Source organism: Homo sapiens, chromosome 14 (assembly GCF_000001405.40).
Source record: "Homo sapiens chromosome 14, GRCh38.p14 Primary Assembly".
Lineage (NCBI taxonomy): Eukaryota > Metazoa > Chordata > Mammalia > Primates > Hominidae > Homo > Homo sapiens.
In genome coordinates, this window is record NC_000014.9 from 24,808,370 (window position 1) to 24,833,591 (window position 25,222).

General features: G+C 39.8%; 1 protein-coding gene and 1 long non-coding RNA gene across 29 annotated transcripts in view; one reads left to right on the forward strand and one right to left on the reverse strand.

Moving 5' to 3' along the window:
• Positions 1–1,084: 1,084 nt before the first annotated feature.
• Positions 1,085–25,222, reverse strand: part of STXBP6 (syntaxin binding protein 6) — a 240,694-nt gene continuing 216,556 nt past the window's right edge. For 27 of the 28 annotated variants that reach the window (NM_001394418.1, NM_001394420.1, NM_001394410.1 and 24 more), the window contains 2 exons: positions 10,668–10,825; positions 1,085–4,363 (listed from right to left, as the gene is read on the reverse strand). In NM_001394418.1, coding sequence (NP_001381347.1) covers positions 4,340–4,363; positions 10,668–10,825 — 182 coding nt within the window. In that variant the 3' untranslated portion in view covers positions 1,085–4,339. The remainder of the gene's footprint in view (positions 4,364–10,667; positions 10,826–25,222) is intronic. The other variant, NM_001394417.1, reaches the window with a different exon arrangement.
• On the forward strand, positions 9,989–19,612 carry LOC124903293 (uncharacterized). The gene is made up of 2 exons (XR_007064089.1): positions 9,989–10,524; positions 10,621–19,612. It is a non-coding gene; the product is annotated as an uncharacterized LOC124903293 (long non-coding RNA).

The window sequence follows — 25,222 nt, forward strand, 5'->3', positions numbered from 1 at the left end:
ACATTTAGAGAACATGAGACTTGCCTTGTGGGTGGGATGTGTCCTTTTTCCATGTCTCTTACATCTTTGCTTATCTTCATGCTCTGATAATGGTCCACCTGTGGCACTGCCACAATTTCACTGGCACTAGGAAGTACTGTCCCCTGCCCACCCATGCCAAGATAGGCAGGAAGTTGGCATAAAGTGACTCAGGGGGCTATGCAGGAGCAGCGCACAGCTCTCTTCTCCATGCCTGCCGAGCGTGCTTATGTGAACATGCATACGTACATCCGGCTACCACACAAGTTAGCCTATGAAAGGCACACAGAATGGGTGGCAACAGAAAACAATACTCAGACATTTGCATCTTGAAATTTATTTCGGGTGTTTTCCACCATGCCTCCCCTTCTGTTCCCCCACATCTGCCCCAATCTGCTTGTTTAGGCAGATGATTATGATAAGTCAATCGTTTTTCCTAAGCATGTTCTCATTGATGCAGGAGAAAGGCACCACTGCTTTTTTATATTAATCCTCCCATAAAATTTGAGAGTTGGTTGTGGTATAATCGCTAATAAAAATTACATTAAAAAAGGATAATCTCTGCAGGGCAATCAGCTTATAATTTAGTTCACAAGAGCAAGTGCCTTTAAATGCATAATTCACTTAAGGCTGGGTCCTCATCTACCCAAACATATCTCTGCTCGTTCTCCTCTGACAAGTGAAGACTGCAGGTCTCTCCTTTCCACCTGCCCTCCTCCCAGGAAATATCTCCAAGTCCCCCTTGCTTTACCGAGCATCCATGCCAACCCAGAGACAGCTGTTCTGCTGCAGTAGTCACCCAAATCACTTCCCTTGAAAACAAATGGGGCGGTGCAATATGTTGCATTTGCTTTTCCATAAAAATAAATTGACACAATACAAGCAGGTCTTCTTTCCCATTTAACAGGGCAAGAAACTAGTCTGCTGAATGAGGGCACATGCAATAAAATGAACTCAAATGGAGTACATCACTGATATCAGCAGAAAGGTAATTATTAATCAGCTTAATTGCTTCACCCAGGAGAAGGAAAAAAAAAACTTGCTGAATAGATGCCCATTGTCTAAATTAAGGTTAGCTCTTTAGTCTTTATTACATTCCAAGCTTTTCCATTAGAACATATGTAATGACATTTTATCATCATGCTAATACTAGTTCTGAGGTTTCCCCTTAGGCACATAAGATTTTCCTATTAGCATAAAAAATGTGGTGACATGTACTTATTTGGTAGTGTTTTATAGAGTTCATAAATAACTGCAAGAAACAAATTTCATCACAGAGTTAAAATATTTAATGACAAAATTAGGGTTTGTTGTAATAGTGAATCAATAGAGCAGGTGTTACTTATCTCTGAATTAAACAAAAATTATATTTGACATCTCAGAGAACTTCTGAAGAATAACTGTATGACAGACATCAGTAGTGTCACAATTTCTAAAATTAAGAGCTAAACCTATCTTTAATGCCCCTTATTTAGAGCATCCTGTAAATAATTTTAAATAGATGCACAACCTTTGCTAGCCACAAAAGTAGTATTAAAACAGTTTTCACTGTAACTTAAGTCTAACACGTAATCTGAACTTCTTCAGAGCTTGAAAAAAGGTAACTACTGATCATGTTACATTTTACAAATACATTCTTTAATATGAAACATTAACCTGAATAACTGCATACTTTCTGTACACAGGTATCTAATAATACTAGTGAGAAATACTACAGCTATATTCCAGGAAGAAGTGGTAATACTGGAAAGTTTCTTTCCTTTTTGAGTTGTCTATACAATAAGTCCTTCACAGAAATATAGTATCCCAAAATTCATAGAGAAGTGCAGAAATGAAACAAATGAAATGTCTTCTGACAAGCTCAACCAAACTGGTCCCAAATCATGACAGTTATTTTGTCTAAGACCGTATTAATACTTTGCACTGCAGCACCTTCTACAAGAGGACAGCAAAGAACTTCACATGTGTTATCACTGGGCTCCTCTGCAAGAGGCTGGGAGGTAAAGGAGGGGCAGGGATTGCTGTTACGGCCCTCTCTGTTGTGGGGAGGCCTAGGTAGGACTTTGACACTGAGAGGTCAAAGGTATGAACGCAGCCTGGAAACTAATCATTAGAGGGGGCTAATAAAGATTCGGATGGGCTTTCTTCTAATTCAGGCTATTTCCAATGAAACTTAGGTCTAAAAGGATAAGCAGAGAGTGAGGAAAGAGGGCAAGACATGGAATACTTATATTTATCAAGAGTAACTATTGTAATTCTACCAGGGAAGAAGAATCTTGGGTTTCACAGTATGCTTATGACCTCATCCTCAGCTACTTTGGAATCAGCTTCCCAAACATTGTTGTTAGAGAGTTGGCAACCACTTCTGTTCTTGAATTTGGCGGACTGTCAGGGGGTTTTAGATTTATCCTTTCAATTATTTATACCAACTCTCTATCTCTGAAACCAGAATCCAATTTGGAAAGATAAATACATCTCTGTGTGTGTGTGTGTGTGTGTGTGTGTGTGTGTGTGCATTCTGAACTGAGATCTGCAAACAAAATCTATTTGGAGTGATATTTGGGGCTTTTCCTAGAAATTAAAATAGCTTCCAACGGTACTCACCAAATGGCATGTTCCTCGCTTCTTTAAATTTTTAAGACACCAAAAAGAAAGTATAAAATATTATAGTTAACTTATACAGTTTATTAAATTTTATAGAGGGTTTTCTTGAATTGGATCATCTAAAAGGATTCTGAAATCTGTCTCCGACAAATCTCATCTCCCTTTTAATGTGCACCATCTGATATTTTTACCCCCAGTAGACAAACTTTCTCTCTCCTTGGGAATGCTTTATTAGGAGAACTTCAGCTATTTAAATCAGTATTAACAATCCAAAAGTCATCTTATGCTCCTATGTAAGAGGCTGCAATACATATCGACTCAATCAGCAAAATGGATAGGATGGAATAGATAGGGGTCCTGAAGATTCAGGCAGCTTAAAAATCAATGCGCTGCAGTGGTAGGCTTACAATGTGTCTGAGATGTGCAGCTTGTCTCCTAGTTTCACAAAAAAAGCACAGCTTTTTTTATGTTTAGCATTTTAACCCTCTAGGAAACAGAACTTCTAGACCCTAAGCCCCTTATTATCTTGAGTAATAGAAAATCACGAGGTGTGTGACCAACTGTATTGAAACTGACTGCAATGTAAAGGTTTGTGATTGTGGTGTTTTATATCAGACCAGGCAAGGTGCAATTGCCATGAAATGCAATTTGTCAAGAAACTCACATATTAAATTACATTAAATAAATAGATAGCAAAAACAACATCAAAACCTCCAAAATCCAGATACCAAGAAACTAAAGGCCCTCTCCCAAGGACATTATGAAGGTGTCTCTAAAATAGGCATGACTGTAAAAAGACAAGACAAACATTTTAAATGTACTACTTGTTCACATTATCATTGACACAGACCTTTACCTGGACAAATCAATTTTTTGATAAAAATATAAGCACTTTTCCATACCAGCGACCATCACTATGACAGTGACAAGAGAAACATCTGTGAGTACACAGAGGGTTTTAGGTAGGCTTTTCTTTAGGGCTTTACTCTCAAATTTTTACCCTTCATATGATAATTCCAAGTAAACACCCTGGATACAAGTAGCAAGAGTATTTAAACTGTAACTCAGGAAAGAGATTTCTATCTGCGATTCTGATTTTTTTTTTTTTTTGAACGCTGGTGATGGTTCATGCAAAAGATTACTATGCAAGGAGCAAAATCTAAGACTGCTGTTTTTCCCAATAAATTCAATTGTTTTCCACAATGTAGAATTTTAATCTTCAAATTAAGTGTAGCTAGGACAGTGAGTGAAACTAATCACTGCTTGACTTTTATTTTCATCTAGGAAAAATAACATCTGATGTCACCACATTAAAATGCCTTCCTGCTTAATATCAGAGAAAAAAATACATGTTGCCAGTTTAGACTCAGCGCAGTTTATCATTTGGTCCAAATTTCATATTCAAACTACAAAAAATATTTTTTAATAAAGAAAACATATTCAAAACATACATATACACACATACACACAGTGGGAGGAGGCAAAAACCCAAAATGAAGCTGATGCTATTGTAGCATTTATTAGCAAGATCATTAGGGAAATGTAAAAATGCAACACCCTTTCTTTCACATTAACATCTGAAAAGAAAAAACAAAAACCACTCTAAGTGTCCAAATATTGGAAAAAAAGAAGCAAGCGGAGGTCCCGAATTCTTGTAAAAACTGCTGAACAAACTCTTCAGTTTCTCTTAAGAAGAGTCACCAGGATAGGCAGTTTCTCAACATTTGTGCTTCATGGCAAGCTAAGGAGAGAGAGGAATGAGAAAAGTAAGACTTTATTAGCAGGTATTAGCAGAGAGATTTCACTGTGCTGCTCCCTCTCCACCTCCACAATGAGAAGCAGCACCAAGATTCTACTCTCTGTGGCAGATCACCGTTACTAATTACAGTAGCACCTTTAAATGTGCAACATTTTCTCAAATAGCTCATGGGACATTTCATTTGTTACTTTTCCTTATGATAGCTTTGCTGGTGTATGCATCCAGGCGGGAGGGAGTGCCTGTGTGGTGTTCCTACATCACACTGAAGGAACAAATGAAAAAACCAATGGACAGGCAGAATGAATGAATTACCCTAGGAATAGCTGGGGTTCCCAGCTATTCAGGAGAAGCAACACCCCTGAATTGTATTTACTGGCATCTCATGAAGTATTAAAAATCAACAGCTTTTAGTGAGACAATCTACAACCATCTATTTAATATGCAGCCTGGACGTTCCACCAAGTCCACAGCCCTTCACAATTTAATTGTGTTACTGACGAGGGCCAAAACACACCAAATCCCGACTTTGATTTATGCCTTTCCCATTGGTGTTTGTAAAACACGGTCTATTGAAATATTAGGTCTTTTAAATGGGAACATCAAATACCACAATATCAGTCAATATTTTCCCAAGCCCAGCCAGCCCATGATAATGTATTTAAGGAAATGGTATGCAGGTACAGAATATGAAATTAAATTTGTCCTCACTTTTCTTAGCCAGATCTTTTCCAAGGAGTCTATACAATGATGTGAACCAGAAGGCAGAACAGAGGCTGAACTGTAACTCTCCATGTATCCAGAGTCTGATATCAGGGACTAATTCCTGTGGTTGGGGCTGGGAACAACTGGGGTTAGGGTTCTGTGGCTCAGAAATCCTTTGAGCAAAGAACAGGTGATTCTCCGCAGGCAATAACTTTGCAGAAAGCCCTGTCATCTGCATCCTGACCAGGCTCTCTGCCTTTTAAGAATTAGTAAGGCCGATCCTACTGATTTCACCCAGTGGTGCTCTGCATCATTTTGGAATGTCACTAATCCATTTCTTCTGCAAAACCCAGGGCAACCTGAGTCTTCTCTTTCTCTTCTTGACATCTTCAACAAATAAATTATAACCCTGGGGCTGCCATCTCAGCTAAGCCACCAGCAAAGACAGGGTCAACACTCACAACAAGTGTCCCCAGCCAGGTTTGCATGTGATAGAGGGACCTTTGGACCAGTCCTCATGTTGATAAGTTAATCTCTGCTTGGGAAACCTCAGCTGAAAGAGCTCCTGGTACCTCTGTCTGGTGATGCCAGTGAAGACCTCCACAGATCTTCTGCAATGCTAACGCCAATAGTCAGTCAACTGTCAGACACAGGGTTTGGGAAGTTCCGAATGTGCCCAGGCTGTCCTGCTGAGTGATGTGGGTTCTTGCCAAGAAGGGTAGAGGTGGCTAAGGACTCCTGACCTCAAGGAGTTTATAGTCCAGGAAACATATAGTCCAGGTTGGTGCAAATGGCAGAGCCAGGGCTCTAGCTCAGATCTGTACCACTTCCTGGCCACACTCTGAACCTCATCACTCTACGGCCTCTACTTCTTGCTCTGCTTCTAGTTTTTATACATTATTCAGCAACATGGACCATCACATCAACACAGAGTGGTTAAGTGTTGTGCATAATAAATACTGACCATAAATATTTGATCAGTGCTGCTGTCCTGGTATTCAATGAGCTGTTAACTTTCAACTAATGGGCTTGTGCCAATTTACCCACAGCTATTAATTTTCAGCAGTGATTATGCTGCTGTTCAAACCAGACCCTGGTAACCAGGACAGTGCATCTGGAATGGAGCTAAGGGGAGCCCCCGGGCCACGACCAGCTAAGATTTGCAGAAATACAGTTAAGACTGGACATTTTGCTATTTGAGTATTGGCATGGTCCAAATGTTTGTGTTTCCCCAGAATTCTTATGTTGAAACCTAACCCCCAAGGTGATACTATTAGAAGGTGGAATCTTTGAGAGGTAGTTAGGTCATGAGGGCAGAGCACTCATGAATGAGATTAGTGTCCTTATAAAGTGGCTGAAGCGAGACCCCTCACCGCTTCCACCATGTGAGGACATGATGAGGAGGTGCCATCTATGAATCAAACAATTGGCCTTCACCAGACACAGGATTTGCCAGTACCTTGATCTTTGACTTCCCAGCCCCCAGAATTGTGAGAAATAAATTTCTGTTGTATATAAGTCACCCAGTTTATGGTATTTTGTTATAGCAGCTTGAATGGACTAAGAAAGTAGTATCATTTTAGTTTTTGTTTAAAAATTCCCTAGGAATTAGGAGCGTTAGAATATGGAAGGCAGGGAGGTAGAGCAGAAAGAGCACTGCATGAAATGAGGTCAGGATACCTGCTGCTGCAAATCTGCTGTATGACCTTGAGCTCTAAAGTCACAGCTGCTCCACACCTCAGCCTCCTCTTATGTCTATAAAAAAGTCTCCAACGCTAAATGCCAATGGATAAATTTAGGTGTCAGAGTTGTTAAAATTTCAAATTTCCTTTTGATATATTTTGTGTTCTTAATATCTCATGGAAAGAGTTCTCTTTCAATGCTATGCATGTAACCTACTCAACCTAAAAAATGATTATAATAAAATCATGACTGATACCAGGCAGATATAGTATCAATATATTACTGTTGATAAATAATAAAATCATGTATTTTATTTTTTATAATACTATTATAACATAATAGTATTATTTTATAATAATATAATATTATATATTATAAGACCTGTGCTCCGAAGACCCAGACCTGAGCTCCTTAGGTAGTAAGGATAGAGGCAGCCATTCCCTCGCAGTGAGAGAAAGGCCACACGCCCTTTCTTCCCCCACACACGTAGGCTAGTGCAAAACAGGGCAAGTCAATGTTTTTTTCTGCAAGAAATGTCATCTGAGGATGTCTGAGTGTGGGTAATGCTCTTGTCTACTGACTCACTGACTATGGCGGGGCCGTCAAAGCATTGCGTCTGCTGCAACATTGTGCTTTTTGGCAAGGGAAAGTGAGCAGATCTGTTTCTGCGATTGTGGTGCACTTTCCTGAGGTTAACTTTGCATGAAGCCCGGAGCTCAAGAAAGGACCACATTTCCTCAAACCAGGCTCACCAGAGTGGAGGTGGGGGAGTCAGTCTAGGAAGGCAGGGCGGAAGGATCATTTTCTATCTGCACTGTAGACAACAAGCACCTGCGTATTTTGAAGTCAGGGTTGTGCAAAAGTGATCCATTGACTCTTGCACCTGGGTCACTGCAGGAGTCCTGGAACAAGTTAGAAGGCCAAGTTATTTTCTACTGGACTCTACAAAGGTGTGCCAAACTCTCCAGCTGGGGTTCGGCACCCTTATTCAACTGGGAGCTCTAGGAGCTGCCACCTGGCATTGCCATTTTCAGCTCAGGACTCTGCCATGTGTTCTGGCCCCCACTTGTAAGCACAGCTTACTCCTTCTGAGTCAACAGAGCCATGCTTGTCTAGGGGGTAGAATGCTTGGGTTCCATCTCTGAACTCTCCCCTCACCAGCAGGCCTGGCTGTGGCTTGTCCAGTAAAATGACAGCTTCATGGTCAGCCTATGCTAGCAGGTCCAAATCAAGAGTCCTGGTCCCTGGGAAAATAGCCACACCTTATCTAAAGAGGTCAATCTGCTTGTTAGGAATACTGCCAGTGCCAGTGATTCATAGGCACACATCCCAGTTTCACACAACTGCAAGTCTGGCCATGACACTCTCTCACTCTCATACACATTAACAGACACTAGTAACCCCTCCTCTTCCCCCCGAGATGACCTGAGGGAGGGGAAACCAAAATAAACACAAGCTGTCCACGCCTCACCCCTCCCGAGTGAAAGCAGGTAACTGCTAGGCATAAATTTTCCCACTGGTCAAGCCAGAGACCCCTTTGCCTTTGGTGGCCGCATTAGTTTCTATCCTGATGGGTCCTGTTTCAAGGGCTGATCTGTGTTTAGATAGTATCAACATTTAGCATGAGGGCCCTCCCACACCCCTTTCCCTTTGGGTTTGGGAGGCACAAAATCTTCTCCTCCATTCCTTCCCTGTCCCTGTGTTGAGGATCCTCAATCACCAGTATCAATTCTCCAATCCCTCTACAGTGCTCATTATGTGACTGAATAGGGCAGGGTCAGTAGAAAAAAAATTTATGAAAATGATTACAAATAATAGTAATTTAGATTTATATGTGCTACATACTGTGCTAATAGCTTTGAACTCATTCAATTCTCTGAACACTCTAGTACGTAGGTACTATTCTCATAAAGAATAGTGCTCTATTCTACTGATGAGAAAACTGAGGCTTAGAGAAATTAAGCATTTGCCCAAGGTCACCAAGATGGTAAATGACAGCGCTATATTCAAACACAAGATGTTAACTACTATTCCATATTGCTTTCCCAATTGCCTCGCAAACTTGGCCACAGTATCAGGGAAACAGGGCTACCAGGGCCAAGAATTCAGGCCATCTGGTTAGGTTATCCAATCCAGTGTTTGTACAGCCCCCTCTGGGAGGGACGCCTACGTGGACGACATCCAGGTATTGTCTATGCCACCTTAGGAAGAGCAATTTTACAATCTTCCTTGGTAACCTGGTTCATGGTTTAATCATTAACCTAAACTCTTGTTTTAGCAGAATTTTATCAGTGCACTATTGATTGCTCTATTCTGTGTGGGAAGACATGAAAGAAAAATGCCTGTACCATCACCCTTCCCAGAACTGAAGACTGTTATAAAGTTATTCCCTTTAGCCTCCTCTACCCAACTCAACAACTTAAATGTTTCCCCAGATTTCCACTATCCGTCTCCCACTGAAATCACGGAAGCTGCTGTTGTTGTTAAAGAAGCTGAGGCTGTAATGCCAGCATTTCCATGTCATCATTATCTCTGTGTCACAGAGGCTGGAGAAAGGAGGAAGGAACTAGGGAGACCTTCAATCCAAGTTCACTCTCTGCCTCTGCACCAACAGCAGCAATCTGAGGCTCTGGCCTCCAGCAGGGCTGTCTGCATTTTCAGATAGATCTAGCCAATTCTCCTTGAAGGAACTCGAAATGGGCCCCACGGGCAACAGTGCAGTAAGACCCTGTCACGACAGAGAATGAATGAGATGACAAGACAGCGCTGTGCAAAGGGGATGCAGGAAGAGAAGGCAGGAGTCATCCACTTAGAGCTGGATCCCCAGCTGGACCTGAGCGTGAGCCTCCAGAAGAGGTCACCGCAACTCAGCTGGGAATATTCTTCTCATTGCTTTTTAGGTTATCCATCCTTGTTTCCTCAGCAGAAGTGGTGTTTCTGTTAAAGCCAGTTATTTTCTTCCCCGAAAGGTCACCTGAAAAGTGTATTTGAAGGGCCAGATCATAAGCCTGACATGCCAACACAAGTCATCAGCAGATGTTGTTTCTGGAAGGCTAAATTCAAACCACTAACCAGAAAAAAAACTGCCCTTTGATCTGAAGCACAACAACAGTAATAAATCCTCTTTATCACCTGACCAACAGGGCCTCTCTTTCCTTTGGTTTGTGACTGCCTTAGATAGCTGGCTGCCAATAAAAACTGCCCCTTTCCCTTCTAAAAGGCACAGTTCTCAGCGAGTATGAGAATGTGCAGAGTGCGCACTCAGTCACGCAGGAAATGCCCTTCTCTGGATTCAGGGGCAGCAGGGAGTATTGCTGACAGCTCAGCGCTGGTCCGGTCAAGCTCAGAGCCCCAGAATTGAGGCCCTGAAATAACAATCGACCCCTCTCCGAGGGAAAACTAGCCCCGAGGTGCGTAGTTCCCTGGGACTGGGGCTTGCTTTGTGTCTGGTGAAGAGATAAGGACACACTGCTACACTCAGGATGAGAAAGGGACAGGATGGAAAAGCAAGCACGAGCAGCCTCACGTCCTCCATGTGTTGGCTAAGTGGGGCAGGGATATTCGAAGACCTGATCTCTTCTCCCCGACCCCCTGTTCTGTGCCTCGATACTTGAGCCCTAAACTTCTGAGCAGGAACTAAAGATGGTCCATAGTTCCTAAAGATCCAAGGTCAGAAGGTCAGAGATACGGCTGAGGACATTAGAAAAGAGCCAAAGAAACCAGGTACAAGAAGAAATTTTCCACGACTCAGGTGTTTAGTAAGTAGCAGATGGGAATTACATAAAGGGGAAATAGCTTAATTTTATATCTCTCATCACAGGAAAATACTGAAATAAAGTTTCTTGGCACTGTAGCTCCCCAACACCCCAGAGCTGAGAAGCCTGCTCCTCTCTTGGCCCACCTTGTGCGCAGTTTCTGCAAACTGCTGGGCGCTGTTCTTCAGGTCTTCTGTCTTCTCCTCTGCTCGGCCTAATCGCTCTCCACGCTCATTCAAGGCCTGGCTTGCCTTCTGCACTGCGCTGGTCACGCTGTCAGCAGCTGAATGGAGGATGCTGTTTCCTGAAAGGAGGAGAGCAGGAGCATCAGAAACTGGCTCAGCTGACCCACAGTGACCAGACTCCGGCAGGGTGAGTATCCTGTAAGAGGAAGGCAGGTCACACTGCAGAAAGGCCGCTCGTCTAGTGTCTAGGAAACAAGCCGACATTTCTTTTGATTGGGTTTGACTGACGCACTTGCAGCAAGAACACCCACTGACTGCAGGACCTAGGAAAATCCTAAATGCTTCTCTATAAACTCATCACTGACATGCCAGTCATTTCCATTCTGCCAGTATTCTATCTGTGGAGGCTCAAAAGGATGGGGCCTGTCTGGATTTACAACTTGGCTTGCAAAGATAAATGAAAACGTTGACAAGTTCACAGAATTAGGCAAGTTCAATGAGACATATCTGGATCTTATGTTATTTCCTTTTGACCTGTGGTTTCGGTGAATAACCATAGGAAAACTGGGACCACAGAACTTTTCTAGATAGAATGCTCTATATTCCTTCCAATGCTTCTTCTTCATTTTACCCCTTCATCCAGCAAGTAAAGAACACCCCAAAATGTACAGCTTCATGTAAGAGCTATGATCCAGTCTCAAAGCTCAGAGTAGATGTGTCTGCTCCCAACCTTGGATTCTGTACCATGGCTCGGATGGTTGGGACTCCTTACCTCTGATCTCTAGTATGTGAAATACGGAGCCTCAGGACCATACTTAACCAGCAGGTACAAAACAGTGATAGAAACCAGCCCTAGAAGAAACTTGGTACTCCCAAACTCAGGAGTGGTGATACCAAGAAGGTTGAAAGCCATTGCATCTCAGAGGGTCATGCATTCCTGACATCCCATTTGCCGGGACTGGGCAGCAAAATTCAATAGTGAAGAACTTGCCAATGCATAAATCACTGAGAAATAGCAACTTGCAAAATGACAACCAAAGGAAATTTATAGCTGTATTTTGTTAACACTGAGTGTGAGATATTTAATGGCATTTTATATAATGACTTTATGTCTTTGAATAAGTTTATTACATCATTTAACTTTGTACCTGGGATGGATACATCTAGCCACAGATAGCTTTTAATAGAAACGCAATTTCCACTGGTCTCAGCTGCAAAGGGTTCTTAATTTCTCCTCTGTGGGCACAGTCTGTGGTTTGTGGAAAAGGATCTCAGGCAAAGAAAGTGCCTGGACTGGAGGAAGCACTTAGTAAATGTTTTTCCATTTTTCTTCTTTAATGGTGGATTTCAAGGGATTCAATTATGCACTGAGGGGAGGAGAATGGGGTTAACTCAGTGTTACTCAGTTGCATCAAGCACTACATGAACCAAGATAAATCAGCACAGATAAATAGGGAGCAGAGGAAATGCAGTTCTAGGCAAATCTGGTTGAATGCAAGGTTGGAATGAAAGGTCTGGGTCTTCAGAACAGATTTAGGAGGAGAAATCTTGGTCCCCTTTGCTTTCATATCATACTCATAACTATGATAATAACCCATCCATGCTGCTCAACACTTGAATAGCACTTTGCAATCATAAAGCACCTTCACGAATATTATCTCACTTGATTGTCACAATTCTGCTGATAGGATTGAGACTAGCAGAGGTTAAGAGGCTTGCACAATACCGTATCACTAGGGAAGTGACATGGATAGCACTTGAGCCTGGTTTCCCAGTGACTTTTCCTTATTCTCTACCTTGTTCTTTGCAGATATGGTGTTGGTTCAGAGAAGCAATCACTAAGACAGAATTGTGCGCAGACTAGCATACAGATAGGTTTTGACAGGTTATTTCCCAAGGTAACGCCTGACCGTTTCTGTCCTCAAGGTACTCCTCTTGGTAAATTAAGAGTTATTACCCATGCCACATGGAAAGTCAAGTTTTCTCAAAAAAGGAAGAGGCCAATGGGGTGGAACAGGAAGATGGGGAAGGGCGCAGAGGAGTTGGGAGAGGGCACAAGAAAATCTCCTTTTCCTGCCTCCTTCCATATATTCACAGCTGAGCCACCAGAGGACTGGGAAAAGATAGGGCAGGGAAGCTGCAACTTCACCACTAGGAATAGCTTCCTTAAATCAAAAGGATTTTAGAATTAGCTGCTATAAAATTAAGAGGGTGTATAACCAAGACTTGCCTTTTCCCACTGGAATTAACCTGCATGATCTTCACTCGTGTTTCTGGAATGAACCTACTACACATAAGCCTTGCTGCTTTGTTGCTTGAAATTAAGCTTGCACGTGATGTCAGGTAACATCACACTCAGTTTTATATGATACTGTTTAACAGGAGACATTATAACTCATAGAGAACCAGATGCTGTCTTCACTGTTGAAAGATGACATTGCTGACTACTGCCAATAGGAAATCCACCTTCAGTTATTTTCAGGCATCAGGATGAATTCGAACAAATTTCATTTCCTTGGTTGAAATAACCTCTTCCAGTTTCAATTCTACCCACATTTTAGGCACAGTGAAGTCCCATCACCTTTATTAAGCTTCAGGTCAATTCCAATCTCTCCCTCCACTCAACTCCCTAAATAATATCTATATCCTTCTTGGGTACTTAATTAAGTACAATCACGGGCAACTCTTCTCCTACTTGACTTTTTCACCTGTAGATGCAATGACTTCCCAGCTGGATTACAAATTCTCAGAGTGCATCATTTCGCTCTGTTGACCATTCCCTAAATCTTTAATATTTTTCCTCTATTGACTTAGATCTTCTGCTGACTTATTTTCTTCTATCTGGGATCCTCTTGCTCAAACTGTAATCCCAGGGTTCTTTCCCTCACTCTCTTCTCCTTTGCACTCTACAGACTCTCTCTGGAGCAATCTCATCCAGCTCCTGACTTCCATAACCAAATCCTTATCTTTCACTAGGTCATGCTGCTGAGCTCCAGGCCCATAGGTTTTCTTATGGAAAAAGTCCAACAGAATGACCCAAAGTCATCTTAAGTTCAGTAAGTCAAAACCTCAACTCATTATCTTTTCCCTCCACACCTGTTTTTCCTTTGGGTCCCCTACTTAGCAAACAACCCCAATATCTGCCCAGGTCCTGAATCCAGCCGGAAATCTGGGAGTCTAGTCTAGACACCTTCCTCACTTTTATCCCATACAACTAAAGGTCACCTCCTATACAGCTCTCTACACTCTTGCCTTTTTACCATCCTCTTGCCTCACATATACACACAATCTTTACCACATCTATGATAATTACTAGAAATAAAATTGCTGGTTCAAAGCATACAAACATTTTTAGGCTCTTGGTGTATGTTGAAAATTGCTTCCCTGAAAGATTTATTCAACATTCAAAACTATTCATGAAGTACATACTACGTGCCAGGCACTATTATGTTGACACAACTGGCAGAATGACTTTAAGGGAGTGATTTAATTTGTCTGATCTGTAAAATGTGGGTTGTGCCATTTACCTCACGTGCCTACTGTGGAGATGAAGATGTACACGCAGTGTCTCCAGGTACTCAATGGAAGTTTGTCCCTCCACCCCCCTTAAGACTACATCTTCTTTCTATGTAATTTTGAAAAAAATGGCACATCTCACCCAGTTCCATTGCATGTCATTCTCTCTTCTCTCCTATCTCGGGGCTAAGTGTTTTGAAGCTTGCAGAAGATACTCCTTACATACCTTTGTATATCCTGCTATATGTAGCACAGCATGTTGCTCAGACAGGGAGTTTCACACGTATTTATTAAATCACGACATGTTTTGTAAATAGGATGCCTAACTCAAAAGTTGGGACTCATCATATTGTGCTGAGTTAAATCTGGAAATAAAGCAGCCTCCTGAGGCCAACAGCATAGTAATTCTTTCTAAATAGATAGGAAGCATATTAATACCCAAATTTATTCAAGCAGTCTGAGAAGCTGTCAACCATGGTAAATAAAGTCAACTACTTTTGGAATTAGTCTCTGGAGATAGAGCAGAGACCAATCTTGCTCCACTGATCTTGCCTTCATATCAGTTCCACTTAATGTGTGCTTTTAAAAAAATATATACGCTGACATCTTTTATGTTAAGTGATTTAGAAGACTTCATTGAGAGAGCAACTGGAGATAAAGCTATAGCATTGTGTTCAGTCACTGAGAACACAATGAAAATAAATTTAAATGTAGAGAAAAATGAGAAAAAAGAGTAAAGTATATTGAGAAGTGATAAACGAAGAGAAAGGAGGAAACTTTTTAAGAAGCACATGCAATACACCAATAGTTCAATTATCTACATAATTTCATTTGATCACCCTACACATCAGGGTGTATCTTGGTAATTAAAATCCTTAATTCTATTGCTAGTAAAAGGCAATTTCAACAGAATTTTCAGCAGCTACTTCTATAAAATACATATAGAGATATTTGAAATATAAAATATTCATCCTGTTTGGAAAATAAGGCAGCAAGAAAATAATCTAAAACATAAATAATAAATATATGCCCATCTATACTCAGTGCTGAGTCAATGTGCTTATCTAAGAACACTCTTTTAAAACAGAGATTTCTTAACAGTTTTGCTTGGACTACTTCTATTCCATAATCAATTTAACCACTTAAGAATAACTACCCAATAAACCCCACTTATCTAAACTAACTTAGAGGAAAACCAATTTGAATTTTGGGAAAATATAAATGTGTAAAATAGATATGGGTTCTAACAAACACAAAAATTGGTAGGGAGACCTATTATATTTAATCTGTTTATAGGCCAGGAACATTAGTGACTCTCACATAATATGCCAAAAGTATTCAATAATAATTTATTCTCTGCGTAGATGAAGTAGGCTCTATTCTATTCTCATCTACTGAGTTATTTTTCTTAGCAAAGCTATTTTCATGGTTAGTACCTAAGGTACAATTAAGTCTTATTAAGTATAAGTGACACACAAATTAATTTCACTGGATACAAAAAGGTAGGATTCACCTAAGACATGTTTTTTTCTTTTTTCTACTTTCGCTCTGTGACAATTTCATTGCTCAGTGTTTCTGCCACTAGAACATATATTAGCAAAAGAAAAGTCACATAGAGATCTGGCTCCCTGACAGCCTGGTCTCCTTTCAGTCCCAAAGCTACTCAGTGTCAGTTAGACACTGTTCTGCTTCCTGTGATGAGTGGCTCTACTTCTGCCCCCATCCATGGTCATTCAGTTGCATGATAATCATGATGCTCCAAAGGAGGCTCTGTTTAGTACTGTGACTGTCACTAAATATTTTATAGATGAATAATAATTTAAGTAATCATGACGATATTAGCTTTTACTTCTATGAACAGAGTGATTAAATGCAAAGCCTACCCGGTGATAGAAGTTGGCTCTTAATCCACAAAGTCCATTAATTATCTGTGAATTTAGGCAATACCAAGCTCTTTCTATATTACATTGATTAATCAATACTAAATCACATCACTGCATTTCAATGTTGGATAACCTCTAATATCCTCTTTTAAGATGGAGATTCTTCCAAAAAGTTAAATTTCATCCATACTTTTGTGATAATGACTAACCAGAAAAATTCTTTTAAAAATTCTGGTTAAATCAAGCCTTTCCAAACGGAAGAGTTGTTAACCCAAGCTGGGCAGGATGCAGTGTGAACATCAGTCAATCACAATCACAGAACAGCTACCATACTAGGTGGCAGGTACTATGGTAAGATGTTACATTCCTCAAAGGGAGATATTCTTACCCTTATGTTACAGTTAAGGAAACACATGCACAGGGAGGTGAAGTAGCTTACGCAGGATTAGCCGCGAATTGACTCCAAAGCTCTTAACATCTATGTCGGCATTTGCCAAAGTGGTTCTGTGAGTTACAGTGCTCCAAGGAAAGCTCAATTCTATGGCAAAATGACTTCGTGAAATGAGATCTAGCCACACTCCTTTATTGCAGAACTTTGGAAAATCTTTAATGCGTTAATGTAAACTGAATGAAAAGGAGGTACGGGTGAGAGCAGGAGAGGTATGGTATGCAGAGCTTCCCAAACATATTTACTTATAGGGCTTTTTTGCCGAGTATCTTAGTAGGGTGAAATTCCGCAGAATTTGTGCTCAGAAATGCTACAATAGACTACACTGACTCCTAAGTTAAAGGAGGAAAAATAAATTCAGGCTGTCCTCATCAATTTAGTAACAGACAGGTCATGTAATTACATTCAAAAGGCTTGCTTTATAGAGGCTACGGAACAGATAGCGTGCTCAATGGTGGTTTCAGAATTATCTTTTGTCTCAAGTTGGTGGCTAATTTCAAGGACCAAGAAACTTACTTGCTTGTTGCCTGGAGCTGGACGACAAAGAAAAATGGACTTAATGCTCAGGAATACTTTGTAAGTCCATAAATGCAAAAGCCTACTTGAAGGACACCTTGGAATTATTGATTGCTGTTGTTACCAAGAGAAGAATGGACCATTCTATTAGGTCTTCTTTTGGCATTGTGAAGGTAATGCAGTGGAACACCAGCCTACTCCCAAGTCACAAGCATGTCTGCCCCAGAGGCTAACTAAAGTCTCAGGAAAAAGCCCAATGCTCCCTCCCTGTCATATAGACAACTATGAGTTCATACTCTCCTCTCAATTCACTGTTTCAATCTTCTCATTGACAAGGATCAAACATTTAGGATTTTATTCAGGTCTCTTTAAACACTTAAATTCAGGATATGCATAAACACTCATGGATATCTTTAGGATTTACTTAACCTTGGTTCTTATGAATAGTTACAGGGTATCAGGAGAATGAATTCAATAATACTTCTTTTGGGTCTGTTTTGTTCAGAGATTATCAGTTTCTCAGAATACAGGGAACACTTGTTTTGAGGTTAAAAACCTAACGTGGCTCTAAATTTGGTAAAACAGATTTTGTTCTGTCTTGGGTTATGTTTGCTGACAAACCAGCTATGATCTACAGGTCTCTACTTTTATTACAGTTGGCAGCTAGGGACTTTTACTCTAACACTCTAATAACTGTTAATTTCAAGTCCTTACATATACAAATTGAAAACTCTCTACACAATGCTACTGGTTAAAAAGCAAATTTTCTTCAACATACTTGCTACTTACCAGCTGTGTGACCTGAACAAATTACTTACCCTGTTGTGCTTCGGTTTCCTCACCTGTCCTAGGGATTGGTCTAGTATCTATCTCATGAGATTGCTGTGAGGAATAAATGAGGTGATGCGCAAGTGGGGCATTTACAACAGTGTTTGGCCCATAGACACTGAACCTTAGCCATTACTAATGAGATTGTTACCTGGCACTGGAGAGTCTTTCTGTTAAGCTCTCTACTTAGCTCATCTTTCTTTCCCTACTCTCATCACCATGAACATTCGTGAAGGAGGAGTCTGCCCCTACTGTTACTTTCGTATGCCACAATTCTTTTGAACTTCCAGTGGACCACCTCACCCCATGCTAACAACACTGTTCTCTCAAACTCACCAATGACCTATCGAGTCCATTGCCTATTTTATGTTTCCTCCAGTTGGCCATGGGACCACAAATTGACTGACTACTTCTGAAGGCCGCTCTTTCTGTTGGCTTCTAAAACACACTATTTCTTGATCCACCCCCCGACCCCTGTCACTTTGATTCTTCCTTCATTCCCTTCCTGATTAGAGATACAAGGTCAGAAAGATCTAGGCTTGAGACTGACTTTGCCAAATATCAACTATGTGGCCTCAGATAAGTTACTTAATCTCTATGAGCCTATGCTTTTTCATTGGTTTAATGTCAATAAAAAACAGTACCTATTTTGGCCAGGTGTGGTGGCTCATGCCTGTAATCTCAGCACTTTGGGAGGCCAAGGTGGGTGGATCACTTTAGCCCAGGAGTTTTGAGATCGGCCTGGGCAGCATGGAGAAACCCCATCTCTATAAGAAATACAAAAACTAGCTGGGCTTGGCAGTGCATGCCTATAGTCCCAGTTACTGTGGAGGCTGAGGTGGGAAGATGGCTTGAGCCTGGGACACTGAGGTTTCTGTGAGCTGAGATGGAGCCACCGCACTCCAGTCTGGACAATAGAGCCAGACCTTGTCATAAACAAAGAAATAAACAAACAAACAAAAAAAAGTACTTATTTTTCATATGAACTAGTGTGAGAACTAAATGAAATACATATTTAGCATAGGGCTAATAATGCAGTATGTGCTCAATGTACTCTGTATCATTAGTAATAACTGATTCATTCAGCTCACTTATTACAGAACATGTGCCAGACACTGTCTATATTTGTCTGCTTCACAAATTAAAAACCTTCATATTAACCCAATCTTTTCCTTCCTTCCCTTCTTCTGATCTGCTCCTCCTACATTCATTGTGTCAATTAATGGCTCTTCTGTTCACCTACTCTTCTACTCTCAATTGACCTGACTCTTAACCTCTCCAACATATCCCACACCAAAATGCTCATGGAATCCAGGACATTCTCTCTCAGCAAGGTTTCTTTACTTAGCCCTCCACATTATTTCTAGCCCCTATGGTACTTTAAGTTCTATTTCAGTCTTACTGGACAAAGATAGTAGCCTGGATGTTGTTCCTGCCACTAGTCTCTAAGTCCTCTAGTACCTGATCATGCCACTTTCTCATTTCTATGCTTTGCTGCTCACCCATAATACAACACAACCAAGAAGGCCTTTCTTAATCTAGTTCCAGGCTATTCGCTTGCCACCTCTGCAGGACCCCCAACCTTTATCTACTGCTTCACTGTTTCTTGACAGATTATAGAAAATCCTTAAAGTTTTATCAGTTTCTTACTATGTAGAACATACAACAAATGAATTTGAAAAAAAATCCATGTGAATAAAAAGCTTAACAAAGAACATTGCATCCAGCTCTGTCCCTAAGGGTGTTCCGACATCAGCAGTAGCACTTTTTTTTTTTTTTCCAGCATCAGTATTGAAATGCAAGCCTCACACTCAGATTTAGGTGTCTAGCAATATTTTCTGCTAGAAGAAAGCAAAGTTCTTTGGGAAGCAGCAGATTCCAAGCCTTTGGGCAAGGAAAACTCAAATAGGCCTAAAATACCTTATTATTGCCAGATAGCAAGGATACCTCTAAAGATGACAGGGACAGTGCTAAAATGAAAAAGAAAGCAGTTTAAAGGAGATCACTGGGCAAGATCACTGATGTGATATTTAGAACATCAATAGTAACAAAAGTTATCACAATAAAGATAATTACAGTAATTGTATATGACTTCGTGGAAGCCATAATTTCTTAATGATAAAACAAGAGAGTTAACATAAAATGTACAAAAATGAAGTACAAAACAAAATTGATTATAATTGGATGCTTTATTGATTTTAATTAGTAAAAAATATTAAAATATCTGGGTATTTTGTTTAAGTATTTATCTACATACCAATGTATGTATTTGTCTCTATCTGTGTGAGTAGCAATGGGCAAATACAGAAAACTACGAGTAAGCCAAAGAATTTCAGAAAGAGCAGAAAGTTACAGAAAGGACTAATGAGCATTAATGGTCAAACATATCCACTAGGTAGAAAGAATGACGATGCATTCCAAAGTAGTGAATGTGTTCTCCTCTTTAGAAATTTGGCTATCTGTTCAGATCAGATTGCATCTCCCAGGGGAAGAAACTTCTAGACAACGTGACAAATTATAATTAGATATTAATAAGGTGCCTGTATGTTCACAATAATGCTAATATACAAGAGCGATGCACAAGAATGACATAGAGAATTATGTAATGCTGGCCAAGCAATGTAAAGGATGCACCATTTTGGGAGAAAACCCGTCAAGTTGAAATCACTGGGCGTATGTGAAGAATATAGGCTTAAACGGTGCTACTGAGGTGAAACATGAGGTTCCCATGAAGACCCAGTGAGATACTCAGGGACTCAAGTTTGAATCACCTTGGGAGAATAAACCAGGCCCTGTGCCCCCTGTGCCCCCACTAAAAATCAACTGATTGCCAACTCAATCCTCTAGACTCAGGAAATATGAAAATAAGCACTTTGATTAAAGTTGAAAGATCTATGAAGAAGAAAATAAATAATGAAGAGAGAAATTAAACCTATGGTGTTGCTTGTTCATTACAGGTTTAAATATAATATTCCTTTAAGTATTGTAATTATTATTTTTGCATATGTCTTGTCTGTTTAAAGTATCTAAAGTAGTCAAAATAATCAGTCCTATTAAACTGTGATTGCAGTTTAAATTGTTTAAGAGAACTTCATGAACTGTTTCATAAACAATGTTTATAAAAGTTTAAGAAAATTTGACTTTTCAAATTATGTTTAGTAGAAATATTTAATAAACTGAGCATGAAACAAAGTGCAAATAAAAGTGTTTCCTTTCCATGCATATAATCCCATCAGTGTCCAAGGAATATAATCAGCATCTTTACCCATACATCTCTTTTCTTGCCTCTGAGACTTTGCAGACACTGGTTACTCAACCATTGATGTACTTTCCTTCTATAATCACCTAGTAATTCATACTCATCAGATGTCATTCCACCTTTTACATTTCCCTGCTGGTTTGTTTATTCATTGAACTATTTTTTTTTTTTTTGGTTACCTATTATTTGCAATAGGCACAGCAGCAGGCTGGGAACACCGTTGTAGGCAAAATAGACATACTCTCCACACACATTGTCCCCACCCCATGACCGGCAAGGGGCCTACGGTCTAGAAACAGGAGGCAGGATGTGTATGGTTAAAAAAATATGTGTAGGGGTGTGTATGTGTAAAAAATACGTTATAATAAAAAAACTGAATTGCTGAAACACAATAATTTTCCAGGTTGTTAACAAACACTGTGCTGTGATAGTATATTCAAGGGAAGAGGGACTGACTTAGAATCAGTTTGAAAGCCATATCTGAAGACGTAAGCTGTGTGTGATGATAAGCTGGGGAAAAGTCCATGTGCAAAGATTTGAAAGGGGAAAACCCCTTTATGTGTTCTAGAAAGTGAAAGACCACTGGTGTGGCCATAGAAGGGGGAAAGTGGCTTGAGAAGAGACTAGAGAGCTAAGCAAGAGGCAGATTAGATAGGGGCTTATAGACCATGGTAATGAGAGATCTTAAGTGCAAGCAGAAGCCATTGGAGTGTTTTAAAATAGGGGTAATCTGGACCAAGATAATTTTTGGAAATTATTACTCTGGTGGTAGTTTGGGAATAGGAGAAAGAAAAGAAACAGAATGGTTAAGAAGCTATTGCAGTAATTCAGGTAAGAGATAAAGGTGGCCTGTACTAGGATGATGTCAGTGAGATGAGATGTATGGAAAGATTTGAGATACATATTAATGGACTGAATATGAGAGGTGAGGGAAAAGGAAGAATACTGAGTGAATCCCAGGCTTCTGGTTTGAGCAATTGGGTAGGTAATAGTGGTGCAATTTACAAGATAAAAAAGGCTGTCAGAAAAACAAATTTTCTTGGAGGGTGAACAGATATGAGAATCAAGTATTTCATTTAGGATAAGGTTATGTATGCTTAAGTTGTCTATGAGACATCCAAGTGGAGTCAGTAAGTCAAACAGATATTCCTGTAAGAAGCTCTGCGGAGAAGTCTGGGGATGGAGATAAAATTTCTAAGTCATTAGCATAGAGACAGAATGGGAATGGATCATCTGTAGGGAGCAACACGAAAGAGAGAAGGGAAGGGGCTTGCAAATCCTATCTTTAAGAATCTTAACATTTAGAGTAAGGTGAAGGTAAAGGAACCTGCTAAGGAAACTGAAAAAGCAAGGTGAATTTGGCACAATGGAAGTTAAGTCAGGACAATATATCAAAGAGGCAGCTATAAGAGTGTTAAGACAATTTAATGGAAAAAAATTGTCTTTTCAACAAATGGTACTGGGACAACTAACTGCATATCCACAGGCAAAAGAGTGAAGTTGGACCCCTACATTATACCATATACAGCTTTAACTCAAAATAGATCAAAGACCTAAACAGATGAGCTAAACTGTAACCTCCTAGAAGAAAGCATAGGTGTAAATCTTCATGACCTTAGTTTAAGCAATAGTTTCTTAGTTATGATACCTAAAGTAAAAGCAACAAAAGAATAGATAAACTTCATCAAAATTTAAAAAGAAGTTTGTGCTTCTTCATTTCCTTGGAACTTTGTTTATGTTTCTATTACTACATTCAATACATTATATTGTAATTATCATTTTAAGTGTCTTTTTAGCCAGTTAGACAGTTAATTTTACAAATTTCCTTCACTGTGTCTCATCCCCATTTGTATACTTGGTACCAAGCAGAGTACAGGACCATATATCACATGCATTATATGGCTAGTGCAAGAAAGTAACAAAGTTTTTAAAATAAGAAATAAAAAGGGTGGAAAATAACAGTGAGTGCTTGCCAAGGAGAAAAAGCTCACCAAGGCTAAATTATTAACACAGGATGGAAAATTGAATGGTTTTGTACTAAGACAATAATATGTTAAGTTGTTTGAACCTCTAGGAGTAAGGAATGAGGTATGAGGCTTACTATCCTTTACAGCAAGAAAAAGTGAATTTATTGTACTCTTTGATTTAAAAAAATATGTATGCAACATTTAGGATGTGTCCAGCCCAAATTGGTTCTTAGAGAAGTTTTACCTCAAATTCAAATTCTATCTCAAACCTATTGTCCTGAAGTCATGAGGTTCTCTGGGAGTGCAGCATGATTTGCTCATGTAAAATAAACTCACACCCCCATTGTTTGAGATTGGAAAGCAACTTAGGGGTCAAGTTCCTCGACAGAAAACTGTGGTCAAAGGGGCGAATGAAGGATTTGCTCAAGGTCACACCCGAGGTAACAGAGCTGGCCTAGAAGCCACGTTTGCTAAATTAGAGCTCAGTGAGGTTTTCAACTTACTCTAGGTCTTCAAGCCTTTTACTTGAATATTCTCTAAAATTAAAAAAAATATATGGAAGCTGAGGGTTTTAATTTCCTTAAAACCATCTGTGCTCATTTTCCCTTTGAAAGCACTACCCTTATCTTTTGGAGAACTTCGCCCCATTGAGCATGTACACATGTGCCAGTTTATGATTTCAATATACAATACTACCTAGCTTTGGTTTCATTATCATGAAATCTATAAATTTCAAGTTTGGGTCATTATTGCTTTAGACATTGTCATCAAGGGCAACAGAATTCAGCAGACAGCTGAACTACAGCTTCTCTTTCTGACTGTCTTGTGCTGGCATCCAGATGAGCTTGAGCATCACTTATTGTTTTAATTTGGTGAATGTGAAATTGAGAACCTCACCTCATAGACAGATTGGGTATTTGGTGTGAATGAGCGGATATGCTAACACAAGTCCAATTTCTGTCCAAGCTGATAGTCGTAGGGGAATTTTTACCATCTCTCTGGTGTCAATTTTGAAATTGATACAAAATCCCAATGGGTATCATGACTATTCATTAGTCATTCTATGGTCTCCATGTATCTTGTTTGGTTACTAATGAATTCCTGTGACATATTTTACTTCCCAAGAAGGATGCTCTAAAAATTCCTGCCAACTGGTCATTAAAATCCACTACAATTATCATCAATGGAATCAAATTACTATCAATTACATAGAGGAGTTAATCCACACTGAATAATTTTAAACAAAAACATTTTCAATTCATATTAACAAGATACAAACCAAAGGAAAGAATGACCAACCAACTGTATATCTGGTGTCTATTATCAAGGTTCCAAATGCAACCCATTTCCATTTGTACTATTATTAGAAACTACGATTTGCTAAGTGACTACCATGCGCCAGAAATGATGCTAAATACTTTTCATTCATTATCCTATTAGTCCTAATGGCTACTCTTTAAGATAGATACTGTTACTTCTCTCTTAAAATGATGAAACTCAGAAACTCACTTAAAATTACACTGTGTGATAGAAATCTTGATTTGAATTCCAGTCTGGTTGACTCCAAACATCAGTCTTCTCTTTCATATCATGAGAGTTTCCATGGTTTCTTAGAGGTTCACCCTGTGAGGTGAAATGTGAAAGCACAGGGAGTGGATCTGCATTCACCCCAGCCTCATGACGTTGCAGTTACACCAAGGATATGAGCATGGCACCTGCACACTCCTTTCCTCTGCCTGATGTCTCCTCCCCTTTCATGAGCTTGGTTACCTAAGCCACAATTCCTCTTGTAGGAATCTGGTTCTGTTTCCCTGAGGTGGAAGAGAGGTATTCTACCTATGTTCCCCTAGCACCCTTTGCATTTCTCTAATGGAGCATTTATTATAATGCATCAAAATTGTTGGTTGACTTATTTGTACAGCTCATTAAACTAGGAGCTTCTTGATTACAAGAATAATCCCTTCATTTTTTGTTATCTCCAGGCAAAACGTGTACAAATTAGTAAGTGTACAATAGTGGTATGTTGAATGGCTAGTGAACTGATAAACAATGGAAGATATATTTGGTTTTATAAGGATGTGATGAGGTTACTATTTATA